The 24,182-nt window shown below is 43.8% G+C and overlaps 1 protein-coding gene and 1 long non-coding RNA gene across 2 annotated transcripts in view; one reads left to right on the top strand and one right to left on the bottom strand.

Annotated features, from left to right (window-relative positions):
- The window catches only part of SPOCK1 (SPARC (osteonectin), cwcv and kazal like domains proteoglycan 1), a 524,029-nt gene that overhangs the window by 354,548 nt on the left and 145,299 nt on the right, over nt 1-24,182 (top strand). The window contains exon 4 of the mRNA NM_004598.4: nt 4,085-4,199. Coding sequence (NP_004589.1) covers nt 4,085-4,199 — 115 coding nt within the window. The remainder of the gene's footprint in view (nt 1-4,084; nt 4,200-24,182) is intronic.
- Nucleotides 13,810-16,582, bottom strand: LOC105379192 (uncharacterized). The gene is made up of 2 exons (NR_134246.1): nt 16,519-16,582; nt 13,810-14,089 (listed from the first exon to the last, which is right to left on the bottom strand). It is a non-coding gene; the product is annotated as an uncharacterized LOC105379192 (long non-coding RNA).

The raw sequence follows: 24,182 nt of genomic DNA, 5'->3' as shown, positions 1-24,182 counted from the left end.
AGGCCTCTCAAATGCCACTTATTATTCGGATCTCTTATCCTTCCCTTTTCAAAGTGCAGCCACAGTCCTTTCCAGTACTGGTGCTGGGTGCCTTTCAGGAGCATCCATCACCCTGAGCCTTGAGGCTGCTAGGTAAAACGTATTTGGGAGGCCTGAGTTTAAATGGAAATGACACACTCCTCATCCCCTTTCAATCCCAGTGTTGCTGTTTCTCAAAAACAAAATGCGGCGAGGTGATTAAACAAATGCTGACAGCTTGATTTGTTACTGTTTTGTTGCTCTGTGAAGTTCATTTACTCTAAATAATTTGCATACATGTTTGAAGTATTCAGACCCCAGTAATTGATTTTTAGCAGACTTGATTTCTGTATGCAAATTGTTAAGTATGTAGGGAGTTTAATAACGAACAGTTTTTATTTATTAGTATTTTGGGTTGGAGGTTTTTTGTTTTTAAAGAAATGTTAGCTTCCAGAAGTGGAGGGTGGTCTACAGGAGTTAGCCTAAGGTAGGGTGACAGATGGCAAAACTACAGGAACAAAATTGACCAGACCATGGTTCCTTTGACTCAGTTGGGGGATGGCTGCATTCAGAGGGGGTAGGCTGAGGGCTCAGGTGTCCAGAGCTGGGCACCCCAGCCTCTGGGGAAAGATCAGGGCTGGTGACCTCATCCTGTGGGGTGTACTGAGAGGGAATCGTGGACCATCCTCTGCAGCACTGGGTAATCTGGCTGCCCCCTCCTTTTACCCAGTAAGTCTCATTCTGCCCCCAAAGCCTCTTAAGAATATGGTGCACTTGGGCCCTTGGCATGAGGTGAGCCCCGCAATCAGCTTTTTAAAGAAGATAGTAGGAGATTCTCATGCTTCAAGCATACACTGGTGAAGAGTTTGGGTTCTGGAGTCACAGACCAGGTTTGTCCTGCATCTCTCATTAGCAATTTATTTTTAAGACTTGCACATTAATAGCAGCTACCTCCTTTGGTGGCTATGAAAATTAAATGTGGTAATCCAATCAGAGTTCACTGCCTGTATGTCAAAAGCACTCAGTGAGTGTTAACTATGGTTCTTTGTTATTATGAAAACTGATTATTTACTCTGGGAAAAAAGACAAACACAAAAAACTTAATAAACACATATGAGGTGCTTAGCATGTTCCAGGTCTAAGTACTTACAGATATTAACTCATTAAATGTTCATGACAACCACCAAGCAATAGCAGGTGCTGTTATTATCCCCATTTTTACAGGAGAGGAAAGTGAGGTATAGCAAGGTTAGCAAGCAGCAGAGGCAGGGTTCAGTCCCAGAAGCTACTCTGCCTTGGAGTCCGTGCTGTTCCAGAAGCTACTCTGCCTTGGAGTCTGTGCTGTTCCCGGATCTGCTCAGCTGATTCATGATCCTTGTGATTGCACTGTCCGTTGAGACCACCCGGAGGACAGTGTGGCATGTTAACAAAGTTGGATACAGAGGCAAAAATAAGCTCAAATTCTGCCACAAAGCTTGTCATGTAGTACTGCAGATTTTGACACCCATCACCCTAGGCCAACCTGTTTTTCTCTGTCTCTGACATCCACTCAAGTGAAAATCTCAAGTTCTCTGCTGCAGCACTTGGCATCTGTTGGGGAAAATGCCTCAGCTGATAACTATGACTGGGGCTGCCTGTGGTCTAGTCCCCAGGTTTCTTGAGATCTATAAATGTCTTCATCCTGTGGTGTGTGGAAGTGTGAGAAGGGGCAATGAAGGACTGACATGTCCTGCTAAGCTGTTCAAGCAGCAGAAACGCCATTGGATGTTGTGTGTTCAGAACCCTTGAGAAACTTTCATCATTAGTGGTCATCTGGTAATCATTCTTAATTGTTGACTCAATTTTGAATGATTCTTGGAGAGTGAGTCAAAGTTGGCTGAGCTGCAGCCCCAGGGTTGGCGTGGGCGGCAGTGCACTGGGCTGAGACTGCACCAGTCTCCTGGCTTCTTATGCAGACATCCCCAGGAACCAAAAGAGTTCCACTTAGGACCAGGAAGCTCTTGCTGCAAGTTTCTGGAAGCCCCAGCCTTGGAAGACTCTGAAGGCAGACACAGGGCCCTGCCACCTGCCTTGCAGAGGTTGCCTTCAGCTTAAGAGCTCTGAGTGAATGAACACTCTGTCCCTGGGGCTCAAATCAGCCTCTCTTTTATCTCACAGCCTGTTTCTTTCTGCTAAGCTCCAAGTATCAGAGTCACATCCCTTGGGGAGTAGACTCTACCAGGTGACTCCCCTAGGACCGGGCCCTGGGTCTTATTACTTTCCAGATGGGCCTGAGAATGCAGCCTGGCTTCTGTTTACAGCTGCTGAAGCTGCGGCAGTGGAGGGAGCCAGTTAAGCTGTTCAAGTAGCAGAAATGCTTTTGGATGTTGTGTGTTCAGGACCCTTGAGAAATTCGCAGCAGGCATTTGAAGAAAGTAGTGTGCAGATTCTGGGCCTGGGCAGGAGGAGAGGAACAGTGATGTCCTCTACATGCTGAGGAGTCAGGATGGCTAAGAGTCCAGTGGTTGAGGGCACTGTGACATTTCTTTGTGTTTGTTTTGGTTTGGTTTTTTGACCATGTCATTTCTTGTAGAAGTTTTGCTATACCTGCTCAGGATGCCAATTTGTTTAACCAAATGTTTGCATGGGGAGGACATGGGGAGACATCACCTCCCCTGACTGTGGAGAGCAGTTATGAAAGATTTACTGCTTAATAGGCTTTAGGCCCCAGAGCTTGAAGATGGCACAATTGCTTTTGTTTTGCAGAGAATTCCCCGAGGCCTCTTCTGTGCCAATGATGAGCATGTGCACCTCAGCACGCAGAGCGCTGATTAGCTGAGGACCTGCTGCTCAGCCTATTCCAGGAAATGTTGCAATATATGAACTGCTGTCTTTGGAGACCCTTTCTGGAGTTACTTTGTTGGAATCAACTCCCCTCACCCCCTCTTGTCTCATTACTGCCTCCCTACAAACCACACTTAATAGTCAGATTGAGTATCTTATGATTGCCTGAACATGCCTCCCTACACTCTCTGTGCCGGTTCACTCTGACTGGATTGCATTTTCTATCTTTGCTTTTCAAAATCCTGCCCATCCTTCAAGATCCAATTCACATATTAATGCTTCACCAATCCTTGCCCTAGAAATTGATCTCCATTTTTCTCTTGGGCTCTGTTATCATTTTATATGCCCGTCATGGTCCTTATCTAATTCTGCCTTGCACAATAAATATTTATGTGTAAGCTTTTCCCCCTCCCTGTTACGTTGTAACTTTGTGCGGCACAAAACTGTCTTACATATCCTGAAGTTCTTCAAAAACTTAAAATAGGTTGTTTATGCACATAGTGTTTATTGAATGGAAGCAAAAAACTCTGTCCTCAAGGACTTTTCATAGGAAATAAGTAAACTTAGGCATGAATGAAGTCATAAAAAGCAACACCAGATTCATAACCAAAGAGGGAAAAGTAGCTCTTGTTTCTTGGATCATGTGAGATTCTAAAGGATTTTTTAAAAGTAATTCCTGCCTGAGCTGAAGATGCTGAAACTCCCAAAGCACAAAGGAATTGCTCCCCTGATGTTGAGGAAGAATGTGTGATAGACACAGAATTTCCCCTGGCTTGGGCTTTCATTCTGTTCCCCTCCAGCCTCAGAGAACAGCACCGAGGGCAAACACATGGTTGGTTTACTTCCTATCTGTTTATTTAAGTAGAAATAGAAATTAAGGCCCGGTGCAGTGGCTCAGGCCTGTAATCCCAGCACTTTGGGAGGTCGAGGCAGGTGGATCATCTGAAGTCGGGAGTTTGAGACCAGCCTGGCCAACATGGTGAAACCCCATCTCTATTAAAAATACAAAAATTAGCCGGGTATGGTGGCGTGCACCTTTAGTCCCAGCTACTTTGGGAGGCTGAGGCAGGAAAATCACTTGAACCCAGGATGGGGAGGTTGCAGTGAGCTGAGATCGCGCCACCGCACACCAGTCTGGGCAACACAGCGAGAGTCCGTCTCAACAAAAAAAAAAAAAAAAAAAAAAAAAATTAAATTTCCCTGGAGGTCCTAAACCCTGCCCTCCTTCTTGTTTTTGCCTCAGCCCTGGACCCATCCAAGGACCCCTGCCTGAAGGTAAAATGCAGCCCTCACAAAGTGTGTGTGACCCAGGACTACCAGACCGCCCTGTGTGTCAGCCGCAAGCACCTGCTCCCCAGGTAAGGCAGGAAGGCCGGGGGCTGGGGGCTGGGAGGCATTCTGCAGCTGGCAGATCTGAGGGTTTCCAGTCTTTGACGTGGGGATATGGGGAGGGGAGAGCATAGTGTTAGGGTCGCCATTTGTATGGTGTTTGGTGCCTGTACTCTGACTATGATAGGAATCTCAGTTCTCAAACACAGGTTTACAAAGAATGTCCATCTTTATTTCCTTTAAATCTACTTCATTTTGACTCTGAGTCCTGATCTGAACAGATGAGCAGAAAATTCCTTCTTGGTCATGATTGAGAATTTTCTCCTCCCAGAGTGATGCCACGACCCAGGAAACTTACAACTAAGAAAGCAGGGGCCAAGTGTTTAGTCTCCTGGTTGCACTAACAACCTCACTGTGATGATTCTTCGAGGTCCATTGAGGCCCAAGGGCTCTCTGCTTCCATGTCCCCATTGGATGTAGCATCTTTGCCATCCTTGGTTTTTGGGTCCTGCCTTCTCAGGACCACCACACCACCATTCCTTCTGGGAACATGCTATTTCCTCAGGGTACAGCCCCTGATATCCTCTTTTCCCCAGCCCAGGGGGAAGTATCCCCCATCTTCTTCAGGGTCCTTAAAGCCATTGCTTTTACCCCTAATTCCACTCCCAGCATCATCTATCCAGTGGATTTAGGCTTTCACAAATGATGGATACAGGCTTTCAATTCAGACTGCTTCTGCCTTTGGTCCTGCAAAAATACCTGAAGCATGAAAGCAAACAAACATACACATGCAAACGGGCTTTCTTTAAGAAGGGAGTCAGATGGGGCAGGGATGAGAGGAAGGCAATTTCAGTGCATATTCTGCACTTCTCCCTGTGCTGCCTGTACAATTGAGAGGTGTCGCAGTGGGGCTTTGGAGTTGCCCATGTCCAGTTCCCAAGTGGGTAGTATGCTTTGCTGCTCACCGGCACTGTACCATGACCTCAGACAAATAAAGCAACCTTTCTGAATTTAGATAAATAAAGATTCCCACTTAAATCGGCTCCCCACCGAGAACTTTTGCTTTATATCTCCAGCTTGAGCTGGGACCATGCAGAATGGGTCCTATCCCTTCCCTCTGTTCCTGAAGTCCAAGCAATGCTGGTCCCCTTGGCTGTTCCTCTGGGGGTATGTTTTAATTTCCCTCAATCCTGTAAATGGTTTCCTCTGAATGTGCCTAGGGAGCTCCTGCCCTCTGAAATCATGGTCTGGCAGAGAAATGGTGCTCCTGGCATGAGGTGAGCATCTAGAGCAGCCCCCACCCCATACCCCTCTGGCCTCTCTAAGCCTGGCACCTGCAACAATAGACCTAGCATCCAGGGTCATCTTGCTCTGAGGTCACTGTCAAGGTTGTTTTTAAAATAATCAGACTTTGTCTCTACAAGAGCAAGATGCAAGGTATCATAATGTGCTTTTCTCTGTCCCCAGACTGAACTGTTTTCCTGGTAGTAAAGCTAGATTGCATCCCTGGAATACTTCAGCCTGTGCAAGCATTGTGCTCAGCACCTGTTTCCTTGAGTTCTTTCAGCCATTTTGTAAATTTGGTATTTATTTTGTCTCTGCTTTACAAATGAGAGGACTGAAGCTAGTGAGGCATTAGTAATTTGTTTGCAAGCAGCAGCATGATTCAAACCCAGGATTGTCTGCCTCCAAAGCTTATGGTTTTCACTACTACAATATGTTGATGTCTTCATTCTACCTGTCATTGTCTGCTCATCCATTCATTGACATTCAACGAAAAGGTATTGAGGCCTTAGGCACTAAGGCTACAGAGGTAAACAAGAGACCCTATTCCTACCCTCAAGGAAAGTCAAGTTCATTGGGGAGTGGTATGTAAAAAAATACCACTTTTTTTTGGGGGGGGGGGGTTATTATTTGAAGTTCCTTTTAAGGTATATATTATCTGAGAAAACTAGCCTAGAATCTCCTGCTACATGCAATGTCTTTCTTCTCGGATGGAGGGAAGATGTGGCCATATGAATTAAAAATACCCAAATACCCTTTGGGATGGTGCTCTAGGTTGTTTAGCCATGTGTGTGTGGTGTGTGTGTGTGTGTGTGTGTGTATGTTTGTGTGTGTAAGATGGAGAGTCCATTGCATGTTTCCTCCTACAATGCAGGATATAGCCCTTTCTGGAAGTGTTAGACAAGACATTTTTGGTTTTAAACTCAAATCGGTTTGAGACCTATTCAGCAGCCTCATTGATATTCAGGCATATCCAGGTGTAAATGGTGTTTTTCTGGGCATGCCGTGTTTCTGTGTTGGAAGCACCAACACTTTTGCTTGTGTTGAAAATTGTAATCCTCATCTCCCACATCTCCTGGTGACCATAAAATTACAGTGGGTGAGAGCATGGATTTGGGAAGGAGACCCATCTGGGCTCAATTCCCAGGTTGGCTATTTCCTTTTCCAAGTGGCCTTGGCAAGTTATTTTATCTTTCTGAATTTGTGCTTCCTTATCTGTTAAATAGGTTTAATGACAGTGCTTCTACCATTCCTCTTTTTCATTTGCTGGAACACATCCTCTAGTAATTCTTACAGGGAGGGTTTATGGATGATAAATTTTATGAATCCTTGCAGAGTATTTTGTGTGTGTGTGTGTGTTTGAGTGTTCAATAAAATGATGGTGTGTAAAGTACATAGTCTATTGTCAAATAATAGCAGCTGTTCGTACAATTACTGAGACAATTATGATAATAGTTATTATTATCTACTTCATTTCGGAAGGTCAGCCAGAAATCTCCAAAGTTGCAAGTTACTGACTAAAAAGTAATTCACTACAGGTGCCTTGGTCCCTACCCAGTTTGATTGCACCTGCGTCTGCAGTTTCTGCAAGAGGAAGCCTTTGAGGTTTAGCGTGAGGATGACAGTGTCATTTCTGCTGCCCCCTTTGCAATTCACAGCAGGTGTAGACTAAGAAGATGATGGGATTTCTGATAATTGGGCCCACTGGTTCAATGGAAAAAGCCCAAGGAGGAGGCACTGGCTGAGATGGTGTGCCCACTCCTTTATCAAGATCTGGGAGGTGGCCTGGTCCAGGAAGTCCCTGAGTGTGTTTGTTGTGGTTGTTATGTCCAGCCTTCCTTGTCTTCCTCTTAGAGGCTGAATTACTCAGTCCACGATATCAGTTGAGTGCATACCTCTTTGAAGGGTCTTGGACACCTTCCCAGAAGAAACATCTGTCCTTCCACATTATACTCCAGGAGTCCCCTCTGACCAGGGAGACCATGTTGACAACTCTATTTATTCATCAATCAGGGAAGTAATCTTTCTCTCTGTGAAACATCTGTAGGCACTCTTGCCAGCCAAGTTGGCCTCTGCAGCAGCTTAAGAGGCAAATCTCACCTGCCAGACAGTCATGAGTGCACACAGAGAGTTAGCCAGGCCAGGCTTTAGCTGATTATGAGGCTCCAGACTTAGGCTATCTTTGCAAGCAGATCAAGACAGAAGGACAGTGAGCACGTCAGTGAGAGAATTTCATTAGCTTTCTTTGTCTGTGGAGATTGAGTGAGCAGAGAAGCTGTTTGACACACACATCTGTGACTGCAGTGTGTCAGGGCCGGCAGGCAAGCAATTTCAGTGGGGGGCCAAGCAAGGCAGCCAGCCCTCCCCTGCTGGAATTCTTCTCCTTGATTAGGGTGGCATTTGTATTTGGTTTCAGGTAAACTCATATTCTCTTTGGAGAATTCTCTTTGGAAATTCTTTGTTTCACACCTTCCTGCTGTTAAACAATGTAGAGTGGGGTTGCAAGGGACAGATTTTTGTAGTATGTTCATCTTTCAAGTTCTCTAAAAGGGCCAGTTATGCACAAAAGAGCAGTGTGAAGACAGCTGGGAGTCAGGAAGCCTTCTCTTAAGCTACTTTAAAATAATTTTTAATTTAGTTTGGTGTAATGATAGTTGATGCTTGTTATAGAAAACATTAAAAGTAGAGAAAAAAAGAAACAAGAAATAGGCAATGGTCACACTCTCTAAAAACAGTAATTAAAATATTGTGGAATATTTTCTTCCATTCTTTTTTCAAATCATGGGTTTTGTCTATTGGTGTGTTTTTGTCAAAACTGATCAAGTGGTTCCTATATTGCATATAAAAATTTCTATTACATCCTCTTTAGTTAATTTTTATAAGTGAGTATTTTAATGATACTACAAATTATTTATAGATATAATTTTTTTTTGAGACAGTCTCCATCATCTGGGTGAAGGGCAGTGGAGCGATCATAGCTCACTGTAACCTTGAACTCCTGGGCTCAAGCAATATAGTTATACATTTTAATCATTATATAACATACTATACAAAAAATAACTTGAAATGAGTCGTAGACCTAAATATAAGAGCTTAGGCTTTTTTAGAAGTCTTGGAAGAAGGCTTCGAAGAAAACATAGGAGTTATGACCTTGAGTTTGACTAAGATTTCTTAAGTAGGACACAAAAAGCCTGAACTGTAATGCAAAAAGAAAAGCAACAAATTAGACTTCATCACTGGTCTTCTAAAGGCACTTTTACAAAAATGAAAAAGACAAGTCACTCTGAGTGAAAATATTTGCAAAACATGTACAACAAAAGATTTGATTGTAAAATATAATGAAAGCATATGTGCATTTAAAGACTCCCTCCTGCATGTTCATATCAGCTTTATGTGTGATGGATAAAAACTGTGAAACAACCCAAATGTCAACAAGAGATGAATGAGTAGACAGATTGTGGTCTATCTCATAATGGATTACTATTCAGCAATAAAAAGAAATAGGCTATTGATACATCCAACATAATGGATGAATCTGATAATAATTAGGCAGGGTGAAAGAAGACAAACCTCCCACAAAAAGGGGGAGATACTATACAATTTCCATTTACTTGAAATTGTAGAGAATACAGACCAATCTGTGATGACAGAAAGCAGGTTATTTGTCCTCAGAGTAGTGATCATTGAGTGCCTAAGCATTCTGTAAGCCTCGATCATAAAGTAGACCCTTTGGGAGACAGTTAAGTCACACTCTGGTCTTAGATGCCCAGGATCCCATTGGTAAATGGGTTTGTTTGCGGAAGAAGGGTTTTTATTACAACCTTGTGCTATTCTTCCTGACTTAGGTTTTAGCAACATTCTCATAGGCATTCTTAAGAAAAATGTTCTCTTAGGGGACAGGGGGACAAACAGAAAGTCTTTAAGCATGCAGAGGGCTCTGCCCTCAGGGATTTTCTGCTAGTCTGCATGGCTGGTTCTGATTTATTGTTCTGTGGGGTGGGAGATCGTGGGGCAGAGGGTGGAGGTTTCCCTACAGAGTGCTGAACATTGATTTTACCTCTCTGTTGCCATTGATTTTCATTTGGAGAATGGAAAATTGAAGCATTTGTTTTAAGCCTTCCAGACAAGCCACATTCTCAAATTCTGCAAGTGTATTGTGAATGGGAGGGAGGGATGTCAGGATGGAACTTACAATATCTAAGTGTACCCTTCGAAGCCTCTGGGGAGCAGTGGGAACTAATCTGTTTTTAAATAAGGAGCAGACATGGCCCGACTTCCCAATGGGCTGGGCCTCTCTAATGTAATGGCCCTTTATCTCCACTTCTTAACTATCTGGAATAACAACTAATTCTCCACACCAGCAAAGAATTCAGATCCAGTCGAGGCTCTCGATACAGTAGACCGATCTGAGAGTTTTCAGTCTTTTATGTGAACTTGAGAAAAAGAATCAAAGTGTTCGAGGTCAGAGAGAAGTACATCACAGAATGTGCCTCAAATACCAAACTCTCAGAGGAGATTTGAAAGGATGACGGTTATTTCATCTCAGTTTTGTTTTACAACAAAGCACTGCCTCCTGCTACAGGGGCTTTGAACTGGTTGATTACACATACACATAGCTGTCGAGGTTTGGAAGACACGTGGCCATGCAGGAGGTGGGTAATTCCTGGGTGTCTGGTTGGCTTTCTGGCACTTCACAAGTCAAGGCATTGCCAGTGACCAAAGAGTGATTGTGCCCACATTCATTACTATGATTTTATATTTATGTAGCTTATGCCCCTTCTCCAAGTGGCTCATGCATTGCTTTGGGGTTCTCCATTAAGCTCAGAGGATCTTCATTTACTGTGTTCTGGGTCTGGATAGGGTGCCAGTGAGAGCTTGGTGCTATATTCCTACACTGATTGTGGAATTAATGCATGGAGTTTTGGGTTTCCCTCTTCAGAGTAGTCATCTTTGTAAACAGAAACATCATCACTGTGGTCTACTGTTCTGCAAATAAATACCACTGGACAGTAAAGAAGATGAGAAGGAAAGTGGCTGGCTCAAGGTTGCTGCTTACTGACCACCTATCTTGTGTTAGGCACACTTTGCAGGAGAAATCTTACTGACTTCTCACAACAGTCTGCTAGGTCAGTATTATAATACCCATTTTACAGATGGGATTGTTGAGGTTGTGTAAATAACTGTCCTAATTGGACACTGCCAGTAAGGGGAAGATTAGAACCACAGTGGAGGTCACTGCACTTCCAGAGTCCATGCCTGTTGCCTATGCTGCACAGCCTCCTCTGCTGTGGAGTCATGGGGCAAGCTCCCAGGGGCCTGATGTACATTTCCCTTAGTGATAACTGCCACCCCCCGCTACCCCCCCCACCCCCAGCCCATCTGCTCCTGGCCCTAGAGGTGCTGCTGTACAGATGCCTGGGACCTTTTCTCCTAATCCTTGCCCCTCGCAAAGCAACTAGTCCATGCCCTGGTATTAAACCTATTTCTTCTTTCTGTGCCCAAAGCAATAATTCTGAGTTCATTTTTCCCCTTCTTGGCTTTTCTGAAAGTAATCATTCAAACCACATGTCACTTAAACATAGAGATATTTAATTACTTTAAACCCACAATCGCCTCTCTCTTTTTTTTAAACAGCAGAATCACTTTATGGCTGTGCTCAGGTTAAGGACCTAGCTGTTTGTGGAGCCTTCACTGAACAAGGTTTTATAACTCTCAAGCCACTTAACTCCTCTGTTCCTTTGTTTTTCTCTCTGAAACGAAGACTATTGATTAGATGACCTTGATGACAAGCAGCAGAGAGTAAAAAGCAATTCATAATGGAGATGTGAATAATTATGTGGAATTTTTAGTCCCTTGGATTAAGGAACAGAATGAGAGGCAGATATTGCACATTGTCAGGCAAATTCGCTAGGCTGGGGGTCCCCCTTTACAAATACAATTTTTTTTTTTTTTTTTGAGATGGAGTCTCACTCTGTCACCCAGGCTGGAGTGCAGTGGTGCAATCTTGGCTCACTGCAACCTCCGCCTCCTGGGTTTGAGCAATTTTTCTGCCTCAGCCTCCCGAGTAGCTGGGACTACAGGTGCATGCCACCATGCCTAGCTAATTTTTTTGTATTTTTAGTAGAGGTGGGGTTTCGCTGTGTTAGCCAGGATGGTCTGTATCACCTGACCTTGTGATCTGCCTGCCTCAGCCTCCTAAAGTGCTGGGATTACAAGTGTGAGCCACCACACCTGGCCTACGAATACATTTTTAAAAATAACAAAAGAAGACTGCCAGTAAAATGTGTCACACTCATCTTGTTCTGCCTTGTTTTCCCATTTTTCATTTAAGCCTTGCTTTCAGTACCATCTGAAGATGGGGGTGAGTGGGGCAGGTTTACCTGGCAAGGTCAACCAGTGAGACTCCTACCTCCTGCCTGGCCTGGTAGTTTCTAGATGTGCCCTCAAGAACCAGAGCCTCTGCCCTGGGAGCTTGGCATCTCCCCTCCAGGCTGCACTTGCTGAAGAAAAACAACAACAACAACAAAAAACAACAAAAAAAGCGCTTCCAGAGGGGGCAGTTCATATTTTCCATTGACCCCAAAGCACTGGATCACCATCTTTTTTTTGAGCCATGTTTTATCTGTAGGAGATGGAGAATGTTTTATGGTTGAATTCCCAGGATGTGCACATGCTCAGATGCTAATAAGTCAAGCGTCTGCGAAGCTGGGAATGGTAGGGCCAGGGATTGATTAGCAATGCCCTCCGATTTCCTGCTTCCATTTCCAGTAAAATGGCATTAAGTGTACTGCCCTTCTCTGCAGTTCTGCCCAGAATAATGGGGCTGCAGTTGCTGTATTTATTGGTATCCTTGCTTATTAAGGAATGTACATATTGGTATATTTCCTACATCGGATTTCAGTGGATTAGAAAGAGGAGGTTGAGGTAGGTGTGCCTATTTTGAATAGATAATTACTAGGTGTGATTTCCATTAGGGATCAGATCTTGCTGGGCAGCACTCAGGTGTGAATTGCTAGAGCACATCTCTCCCTAAACATTGAGAAAATGACAAACCTGAGCCCCCCTGCAATTCACTGAAGATGTTAAATTGCCCATCTTGAGTACAAAATTCCTAGCAAGTTCTGGAGATTTTTTTTTTTTTTTTTTTTTTGAGACAGAGTCTTGTTCTGTTGCCCAGGCTGGAGTGCAGTGGCACTATATCTGCTCACTGCGAGCTCCACCTCCCTGGTTCACGCCATTTTCCTGCCTCAGCCTCCTGAGTAGCTGGGACTACAGGCACTTGCCACCATGCCCAGCTAATTTTTTATATATATATATATATATATATATATATATTTTTTTTTTTTTTTTTTTGAGACGGAGTCTCGCTCTGTCGCCCAGGCTGGAGTGCAGTGGCGCGATCTCGGCTCACTGCAAGCTCCGCCTCCCGGGTTCACGCCATTCTCCTGCCTCAGCCTCCCGAGTAGCTGGGACTACAGGCGCCCGCCCCTACACCCGGCTAATTTTTTGTATTTTTAGTAGAGACGGGGTTTCACCCTGTTAGCCAGGATGGTCTCGATCTCTTGACCTCGTGATCCGCCCATCTTGGCCTCCCAAAGTACTGGGATTACAGGCGTGAGCTACCACACCCGGGGGGGAGATATTTTTTAGTATTCAGGTAGACCAGAGCCTGTGTGGCCTCCTCACAAAGATGTCGTCATCTTTTTTTTATTTTTTTGAGATGGAGTCTCACTCTGTTGCCCAGGCTGGAGTGCAGTGGCATGATCTCTGCTCACTGCAACTTCCACCTCCCGGGTTCAAGCGATTCTCCTGCCTCAGCCTCCTGAGTAGCTGGAACTACAGGCATGTGCCACCATGCCTGGCTAATTTTTGTATTCTTAGCAGAAGCAAGGTTTCACCATGTTAGCCAGGATGGTCTCAATCTCCTGACCTTGTGATCTGCCCATCTCAGCCTCCCACAGTGCTGGGATTACAGGCGTGAGCCGCCACGCCTGGCCGATATAATCTTCTTTTATAAAAGTTATGAGATTGAACTTTCCCACTTTTACTTCATTTTAATTTTTCTTTAATCACTTTCCTTTTCCTTTGTTATTTAATAAATCTACTGTCACTTACTTGCTGTTCTGCCAAAACTCATCAAGATCCGAACCCAGAGGTTTTCAGTTTAGACACTTTATATCAGATTAATCCAACCAATGAACCGTGAAAGACATTCTTTATGGATATAAGCCACCATAGTAGGGCCCATCGGGGGCGCTGGCCTTGTGGATTCTGGGCCAGAAAATGGACTTAGGATGATTTAGATGGACGTTCAAGGCTATCTTTAGAAGGACTTTTGCTTTAAATAGAGTGTTCTCAAGCTGATGTTCTATGTTTAATGTTCCTCATGGAGAGAGGGTGCAGAGGGCCAGGAGAGATGAAAGTTAATTAGTTTGGGGACCTTGGCACCTTTCCAAGGCATTCTCTTAAATGAGGTTTTTCATGGGCATACATTGAACCCAATGTTGCTGTGCTGCAAGTAATGAGAAGTTCTCCTCTCAGCCTGGCTTGTCCATGATGCGTCCACAGCTGGAGGTGCTGTGGTGTCATGCTTCCCAGTGAACTGCAAGTCTAGCTTCGGAACAGTGACATTGACCTGAAGGAAAGGAGGAGACCCAGCTCAAACTTTCCATCACTGTGAGGAATTCCCAAGTAGACAGCAAAGTGACAAGGGGCCCTGTGGCCTGGAGCTAGATACCTTCTCTTGGCAGGCACCAGGGAGGCCATCTCTGAATATGGTGACAGTGATGAAATGCTTTAGAGCTTGAGTCCTTCCTGTAGTTGCTTCAGCAGGACTAGCTCAGAAAACTGCTCATGTGCATGCTTTGGTGATTGTGGGTTATGGATCATTAATTCAGATCCCACTAAGTTGGAGTTTGTGATAATTTCTTTATTCAACAAATACTTATGGGTGCCTTCCATTTGCCAGACACTGTGTTATATGTTTGGAGTTTTATGATGAGTGGGCATAGTCTACCCTTGTGGAGATTAAAGTCTATTGAAAGAGACAGATGAAAAAAAATAAGTATCTAATAAACTGTGGTAAGATTAAGAAGGATAAGAGTGGAGTGGTTTAAGAATCACTTTAGATTGGTTGAACAGTGAAGGCCTTTGCAGGGGGCAAAGGTAAAACCACCTTTGTAAAGGTTATGACAGCGAGGGAAGTCTAGCATGGGTGACTCCATCTTGCCTCTAGCTTCACAGGCTGGCTGTCTTCACTCATTCCTGGACCCAGGTCAAACCAACTACGGGAAGAACTTAGTTTATAGTTAAACTTTGAAAGAAGGATGAGGGGGGAAGAAAGGAGGGGAAGTTCCCTCTTTAAAATGATCCCTTTCCTTGCTCAGGGACCAAAACCACCTTTGTGAGTCTAATGAAAAGCCACAAGATTAGGATTATGGGAGGGGTCTGAATTCGGCTAAAATGTAGGTGTAGCTAAACAATAACCAGCCATTGTCTACCAGCTTGCCTTTCTCTGATTCCTTGCTGCTCAGGAGTCATGTGACCAGAGGTAACAAGATTTGTGACTTTCCCTATTCTATCTATTGCTCCTATAGATAACATCACTATTGTAGAACCTAAGATTGATCTTTTGAGATATCTTCAGACCTGCACATCAAGCCCCTGACTGACTCCACTTGGACCTGGGACTCACAACTCAACCAGTCCTGTGGCCCCTACCCAGAGGAGGACTGAGTACATGAGGACCCTTTTTCACAGCCCTATGATTTTATCCCCCACCAATCAGTGGCACCCATTCCTTAGGCCCCTGACCACCCAATTATCCATAAAATCCCTAGCCTCTGAATTCTCAGGGAGGCTGATTTGAGCAAGAAAACTCCTGTCTGACCACTTGGCTAGCTCCGCATTAAACTCTTTTTCTACTATAATATCACAGTCTTGGTGAATTGGTTTTCTCTGTGTAGCGGGCAAGAAGAACCTATCAGGCAATTACAAAGGTGTAGGTACCAGCAAGGCAGAGAGGAGAGGAAGTGTTCTCAGTGGAGGGAACAGCCTCTGCAAAGGCCCTATGTCGGGGAAGAAGAGAAGGAGCTCGGTGTCCAAAAGAAAATGAGAAAGGGGAGGCCTGTGCTTCAGGAAAGAAGGAGTATGGATACATGAGGCTGGAAAGAAAGGCAGGGCTAGATTCTGCAACACCCTGAAGACCATGAGGACATGCGCAGCTCTCAGACCAGGTATGATGGGATGTTTTGTGTGGCTTTCAGTTGGAGAGTGATAGAATTGTGTGGTTTAGGGTGGACTGTATTTCCTTAAATTCTTGTTCTTTAAAGCAGACTTTTGTACCACTTGAGAGAATCTAGAGGGTTCTGTGTGCATTAGAAATCCTAACGATATCCTCATTGAGCTTGTAGACTAGTAGAGGAGGTTAAGAATGTGAATGTGTATAATCTAATCTAGAAGATAGAAAATCCCATGAAATAAAGTGGAAGCTCTAAGAAGGAAGAAAGCACTTCCAGCTACAGTTGGGGTTGGGGGAGGGTTGAACTCAGATAAGGAGCATTACTTAGTAGTGTTTATTAGTATTTACTAGTGTTTAAGAGCATATGAGGACACTGGCTCAGACCCATTGGGACATGCTTAATGTTGACACCTGTTAAATGGCACAGCTGGGGGACCAGGGCAGTGCTGCCCCAAACCCATCTTCTGTGTAAGAGCCACTCTGCCCTCAAGCTGCTTCCTGCACCGAATCTCCATTTCCTTCTAAAATGATTACTTTAAACCCCACATTATGGTATTTTTATAAGGAAAGCAGTGAGCTTAGTACCAGTACATAGTAGGCACTCAATAAATTTAGTCTTTCATCTGAGCCTCTAGTTCCTCAGGGAACAATCAGATGGGGGAACAATCCTTGCTAATCTCACAGAGGTTTTCAGGATCATATGTGCAAAGCGTCCTGCTATTTTTAATGTTCTGGGTTTAATGTCAGTTGTTATCTTAGTCCATTTGGGTTGCTATAAGACGATACTATAGACTGGGCAGCTTATAAACAAATTTATTTCTTACAGTTCTGGAGGCTCGAAAATCCAAGGTCAGGGTACTGGCAGATTCTGTGTCTGGTGAGGACCTACTTCCTGTTTCATAGACAGCTGTCTTTTTGCTGTGTTTTCACATGGCAGAAGCAGCCAGGAATATCTACGGGCCTTCTTTTATGAGGTCACCAATTCCATTCATGAGGTCTCCACTTTCATGACCTAATTACTGTCCAAAGGCTTCACCTCCAAATACCCTCACATTGGGGATTAGGTTTCAACATAGTAATTTTGGGGAGACACAAACATTGTCCATAGCATTCTTCCTCTGACGCCCATTAAATTCATGTCCTTTTCATATGCAAAATACACTCATTCTATCTCAATAGCCATAAACGTCTTAATTCATTCCAACATCAACTTTAAAGTCTTAAGTCCAAACTCTCATCTAAATATCATCTAAATCCAGTAGGAATGAGATTCAAGATACTGTTCATCCTGAGGCAAATTGCTCTCCAGCTGTGAACCTGTGAAACCAACATGTTATGTGGTTCCAAAATATAATTGTGGGATAGGTATAGGATTCCCATCCCAAAAGAGAGAAATAGGAAAGAAGAAAGGGATAACAGGCCCCAAGTAAGTCAAAACTTCAAAACGGCAAATAGTAGTAAACTTTAACATTCAAGAATAATCTTTTGTGACTTTATATTCTGCCCTTCAGGCCCACTGGGCAGAGCTACTCCCTTCCAGACCCACTGGGGTAGGGGTACTGCCTGCCAGACCCACTGGAGTGAGAGTCTCACCTTCTGGACCCATTGAGATGGCTGTGTTGCCCCCACGGCTTTGCCTAGCAGGGTTTGGGCCCCTGATGGCTCCAGGCAGCCCTGTCCCCCTACAGTGTCTCTGGTTCTTGCAACCATAGCTCTCTTGGGCTGGAATCATACACTGGTAGCTCTGCTGGTATGGAGCTGCTGGAGTAGGTGGGCATTGCCCTAATGTGGTCTTTCTGTGGTGGCCTCATAGTACTCACTGTGGCTCTTGTACTCTGGGCCTGTGATGGGTAGAGCAGCCCTGATGATTTCTGAATTGCTCTTTCCTTGTCTTTGATGATAGCTCTTGGCTTTTGTTTAGGTCACTGACTAATCTCACCATTGTCTTGAATAGCACCTGGCTTCTGTTGCGATGGCTGACCCATACTAATCTCCTTTATACATTGTCACTTTACCACACCCTTGGCATTCTCTCTAGATCATGTTTTCTCATTCTTTACAATATGAATAGGCTGAGAACTTTCTAAATCCTTAAGTTCTGCCTCCCTGTTGATGAACAATCTCATCTTTGAGTCATTTTACTGTAAGCAATCAGGAGGAGCCAGGCCACTTCTTGAACACTGTGCTTTGATATTTCCTCAGCCAAATATCCAGTTTAGTTGTTTGCAAGTTCTACCTTCCACAGACACTAGGACATGAACACAATTCAGCCAAGTTTCTTTCTTACAACTTTCTAACAAAAGTGGCCTTTCCTCTAGTTTCTTTATTTTTTGAGATGGAGTTTCGTTCTTGTTGCCCAGACTGGTGTGATCTCAGCTCACTGCAGCCTCCGCCTCCTGGGTTCAAGTGATTCCCCTGCCTCAGCCTCCCGAGTAGCTTGGATTACAGGCATGCACCACCATGCCTGGCTAATTTTGTATTTTTAGTAGAGATGGAGTTTCTCCATGTTGTACAGGCTGGTCTCGAACTCCTGACCTCAGGTGATCCACCCGCTTTGGCCTCCCAAAGTGCTGGGATTATAGGTGTGAGCAACTGTGCCTGATCTCCTGTAGTTTCTAATAATATATTCCTCATTTATGTCTGAGTCCTCATCAGAATGGCCTTTGCTATCTTAATATGTTTGTGTTGCTATGAAGGAACACCTGAGGCTGGGTAATTTATAAAGAAAAGATATATATTTGGCTCATGGTTCTGCAGGCTGTACAAGAAGCATGGTGCAGCATCTGCTTCTGATGAGGACTTCAGGAAGCATCCACTCATGGTGGAAGGCAAAGAGGAGCAGCATCACATGGCAAGGGTGAAAGCAAGAGAGAAAGAGGAGGGAGGTCCCAGGCTCTTTTTAACAATTATTTCTCATGGACATGAAAAGAGCAAGAACTCAACACTCAATTATTACAGTGAGAATGGCACCCAGCCAGCCATTCATGAGGGATTTGCTCCATGACCCAAACAGCTTACATTAGGCTCCACCTGCAACACTGGGGATCAAACTTGAGATTTGGAGGGGACAGATATTCCAACTATATTACTATCCAATTTCTACCAATATTGTGTTCAGGATTACTTAGGTATTCTCTAAGGCGATCAAAGCTTTCTCTATAGCTCTCTCCTTTTCTTTCTGGGTGCTCACCAGAATAGCCATAAAGATCCTTTCATGACAATCTAGGCTCTTGCCAGCATGCACATTCAGACTCGTCCAGCCTCTGTCCATTGCCCTGTTTCAAAGCTGCTTTTACATTTTTAGGTACTTGTCACTGCAGCACCCCACTTCTCAGTACCAATTTTCCATCTTATCGTGTTTGGGGCTGCTATGCAAAAATACCATAAACTGCCTGATAAACAACAGAAATGTATTTCTCATAGTTCTGAAGGCTAGGAAGTTCCAGGTCAAGGCACTGGCAGACTCTGTCTGGTGAGAGTCCCTTTTCACTAGGACATTTTTTCATTGTGTCCTCACATTGTGGGAACAGCTAGCCAGCTCTCTGTGGTCTCTTTTATAAGGGCACTAATCCCTTTGAGAGGTGAGTTAATGACCTAATTACCCCTGCCAAAGGCCCCACCTCCTAATACCATCATCTTAGAGGTTAAGATTTTGATATATGGATTTTTGGGGAGACACAGACATTTGATCTACAGCAGTTGTTGCTTTCTCTACTGGCTGAATGAACACTCCACTGCTTGTTTTGCTCTTACCACTCACTTGCAATGCCCAGATTCCCTCTGGAGTGTCAGCCATAGGCGGGCATGACTAGTTCACTCTTGTATCCCTTGTGCCTAGCTCAGGCCTTGGCACACTGCAGGTGTTCATGGCACGTTTAATGGATGAATGAATCAGTTAAATCAAGAAAGGAGCTGGGGGTACAGGGCCAAGCTGGTGCACTTAATGGAAGCTGTGTTAGGTCAGCCGAGTTGCAAAGTGATGCTTACAGTAAGAGTTAGTGCTATTAATACCATGAGGGAAGTGAGTATATTCCATTTCCTTTTGTTTGCTGCATAGAACCTACCACATTCCTGGATACACAGAAAATACTCAGAATGTGTCTATGAAACTCCCCAGGGAAACTGGAGGTAATGTGTCAATCTGCTGTGAAAGTGGCCCTGTTCTTGAGAAAGAGCAACATAACTAGACTCTGCACCCTGCCCGACCTGGTAGCCTGCTTATTTAGGGCCTTCTCTCTTTGTCTTCCTCTCTTTGTGCAAAGTGACTACACACATCTAAAGTCAGCTCTCCTCTGCAGCTGCAGGCTTGGCCTTGGTGGTGAGAGGATGTCATCCATCCCAGTGGCCCCAGGAGTCTCTCAGACCTGCAGTTCTGTGTTCTTCAGAGTGCTGCAGAATGGCCTTGGATCTGCCTTAAGGAAGTAAAAAAGGAGAGAGACAGGTATTGAGTGTGCACACTGCTGACTGTCTCGATGAGGGCCTGCATGGCTCTTCACTGGTCCTGAGCCCTGAGGCTCTTCCATGCCTGGCCTAGGTTTATCCTTAAGGACTGCCTCAGCCATGAGGCTTGTAGGCTCCAGAATCTCTTCTCTCTAAGGTCTGATTCCTCTCCCCTTGGTCCACAGGATTCACCCATGTTGCCCTTCAGAATAGGAGGCAACAGGGCTGCCTGAGGCCTGTGTTGCGCACTCAGCCAGAAATAAGCCTGGGGAGGCAGCAGGCAGCATCCTCAGGGGTTCGCTTTATGTCCTGGGGAGAAGCACAGAGAAGAGGGGCTGGGTGGTGAGCTGCTCAACCCTGAGAGGGGCTCAGGCCTGCAGCTGCTGCTCTCTGCCATGTGGGAGCCCAGGATACACCTGCAAACTAATTGAAATATGCTGCAAACTAATTGAAATATGTGATTTCCTGCCAGTCTACCTGGTCTCCAACTTGAGCAGTTTCTCCTTGCACCATTTTCTTCGTCTTGTGGTACGTGGAAAGTTGGCTTGTTGTTCTTTATGGCTCTGTGATTACCTACAGTTCTTCGGTGGTGGTTCCAAATCCTTTGCATCAGAGCGGTTCTCAGAGCAATACCTGGTAGAAATAGGCAGAGCAGAGGCTTGGGGTGATGAAGTTGTGCTCCTTCAGGGTGCTGGCATTGGGGGTACAAATTGGTGCAACATTTCTGGTGGGTATTTTGACCCCCTTGATTCTTTGATTCCATTTTTGTGGATCTATCTCATGGAAGTAAATAGACATTCACATACAGGTTTATATACAGGGATGTTCAGTGTGATTCAGGATGTTCAGTGATGACAAGGTTAAATAAATGGAAACATCCCCTTCCTCTAGGTGATTTCTGCTTGAACTCTTGCAGTATTGCGAGCCTGCCTACCAACTTTCTGAGGTAGCTTTCCTGTGTGGACAGCTCTTATGTCATGTTTGGGTTATCTTCCTTAGGTTGAGTCAAAAGGCTTTTTCTTGATAACTTCAACACGGTCTAGGTAGAATAGGTTCTGTCTGGTTCTGCTGTGGAATAGCATTGGGACACATTGGCTTACTACTCCCTGTGCTGACACAATTTTGAGCATCTTGTCTGTACAAGAGGGGCAGTTGAGTACCAACTGTATTGCCCAAAGTGGCCAGTGATAAACAGCTATGTTTGAGTGGCTGGGAACACGGGGCAAATGTGTGTGGAGGTGGAGGCTATCTGAGACCTTCTCAGAGAGGGCTGCTACTTGAGCTCACCTTTGGGAACGGATGGGGCATACCAGCAGAAGACAAGTGCTGGAGAAAACACAAGGCCTGGGGAGCTAGCCAGAGTTCTTGACTACCAATCCAGAAAATGTCCTACCAGTCAGGGCCACATAGGAGAGAAGGAGCTTCTCTGGGGCTCCGTCTCCTCTCCTCCAACACTGACTGTGAAGAAACTTCTTGAGCAGGGGATAAGTAATGGTGCGGATCTGGCTGTACCAGCCTCCTGTAGCGCTTTTGTGAATGACCCACCACTAATGTCTTATGGGGAATGGTGTTCAGCCTAAGCTCCTCACATGCCATGTCTCAATCAGGATCTAGCCTGTCTCTGTGTCTGTCCTGGCATCATGTCCCTGAAGCCACTTCTGCTTCATTTTACTGACTTGCTCCTTCTTAATGGCAATCACACCCAGCCCTCCCAGAACAGGGGGCTTTGCTGCTGGTGACCAGAAAACAATTACAGGTGTTTTCTTTCCCATGGGCACATCCCATGATAATTAATTGCCCTCAAGGAATGTAAGCAAGTGTTTTCCAAGATTAGAACAGCGAAGCTGATGGTGGAATGACATGTGCTTGTGCCAACCTTTGTATGCACACCTGAGCCTACAATTAGCTGGAATCTGTGCTTTCCCAGCTGCTCTGGCCCCTCCTGTGAAGAAGGAGGATTATGAATGCTCAGGCAGGAGATACCAAATGAAGTTCTCAGCCGTGGGTTTGCTTGATGAGTATTTGCTTTTTTCCAATTGGTGTGTCCATTGCTAAAGATTTCCTCTAAGGTCTCAGGGATAGAGATGGACCTCTCTTTAATGGGCCAATGAAAAAAGTAAAGTAGCAAAACAATAAATCAAACCAAAATGCCAAAGGTCAGTGGACAAAAGGAACAATTTCTTTTCTGACCCTTGTTAGTAAGAAATGGATTTTTAAAACAGAGCGCATCACTAACTATTATCCTAAGGGAATAAAAAAAGCTCAACTGTTCGTTTACATTTCCCTAATAGCTTGCAATTACACTGCTGCTTGGCACTTTTCCTTGGCAAAGCAGAATTTTAGTCAGAGCCTGAGAGTGCCTCTGTGTGTGTGTGTGTGTGTGTGTGCGTGTGTGTGTGTGTGTATAACTGCTTTTGCATGCAGGCCTCAGGGGCCTTGCTTGTTCAACAACTGAACTTTGAGGTAAAACCCCACTGGTGTCTGCCTCACAGATACCCTTAGTGTTACTGGGTGTGCTCTGTCACTCTCTTAATGGAAAGTGCAGACTGCAGTCTCATACCAGTTAGTAGACTTTACGTGGTCACGTCATCCTATTAGTCTTCATGATCTGGTCAGGAAACATGGAGGATATTGTGAGTTTAATGCTGGAAGTAGGTTTGACTAGTATCCTTGGACATCATATATATATATATAATCATATATAATACTGTTATATAATAACAGTATTATTTATGACATATAATAACATATACTAATAATTATATATAATTATATATTATATATTTAAAACCAAATATTTATAAAATATAATAATAGGGATAATAAGGATACTACTAATAGGGATAATAAGGATATTAGTATCCCTATTTTATATATGTATATAAAATACATACACACACACTTATATGATGTCCAGGAATACTGGTATCCCTGTTTTATAAATATATATGGAAACCAAATATATAATATATAATTTTATATATTATATATAATTAATGTCACTATATGTAATAAAGAATAATGTTCTATGTAATATAGAATATATTATATATAATATATAATAATACAAATTATATATTTAAATATATTATATATAAATTTGGTTTCACTTACAGGGAAACGTTGATTCAAGTAATGTTCCAAAGTGTGTGAATCACCAGAGATATGGATTGTGATCTGGCAAGTTCATTTTCTTCTTACTGTTTTCCCATTGGCCACATAATTTGCTCCTGGCATATTTAAATATAGCCTGGCTCATGGGATTCCTGAAATTAATAGCAAATGTCTTGCCACATAAATATTTTGTTGGAAAAGTTATCAGTCTGTGGATCTTTAATGTCTCAAAATAAGAATAAGAGCAAAAACAGTTAAGGTAACATCTTTTCTGAATAAATTTAGCTGTTCAGAGAAATTAAATATGATCATTATGTTTAATAATCATCCCATTTAATGTATGTTATGGGACGTACATTTAATGCAGTGCTAGCAGTATCTTTGAATTTGTTGCTCAATTTCTGGCTCATTCTAGGTAATTAATAAGTGTTTGTTGAAAAAGTAAAGACTGTAGAATCCTAACACATTTGGAATGTTTATACCTTCAGCTTTGATAGCTTAGCTTAAACAGGCCCTCAAAATATTAAGGTGGAAATTTAATTCAGATAGGATTGATCTCACCTCTTCATCTCCACTGAACTTTTGAGGACTGGTCAGGAAGATTTTATCTAGGTAACTCCTTTCTTCAGCCTCCTTCCTGCACTTGGGAGATCTTTCTCTGACTGTGACAACTTTGGTTTCTTTAAGCATTGCTGTAGAAATGCGAGACTGGCGGGCAGGTGTGAGTCCAGCAGCATGTATTTCTTTAGAAATTTTGAAAATGCATTTCCTTTTTAGATTTTGAACAATTTAGATCAGTGATACATGGTCGCAAGAGAATTGAGCAATAGAAAGGCATATAGAGTAACAAAGCAGCAGTTCTGTTTCATGTCCTCAATCCTACTTTTCTTGAGGGTGTGTTACACATTTGGTGTGTGCCTCTTTACTCATTTTC

Source organism: Homo sapiens, chromosome 5, assembly GCF_000001405.40.
Source record: "Homo sapiens chromosome 5, GRCh38.p14 Primary Assembly".
Classification (NCBI taxonomy): Eukaryota; Metazoa; Chordata; class Mammalia; order Primates; family Hominidae; genus Homo; species Homo sapiens.
Note: the sequence above shows the minus strand (reverse complement) of the source record. Positions and strands in the feature narration are given on the sequence as shown.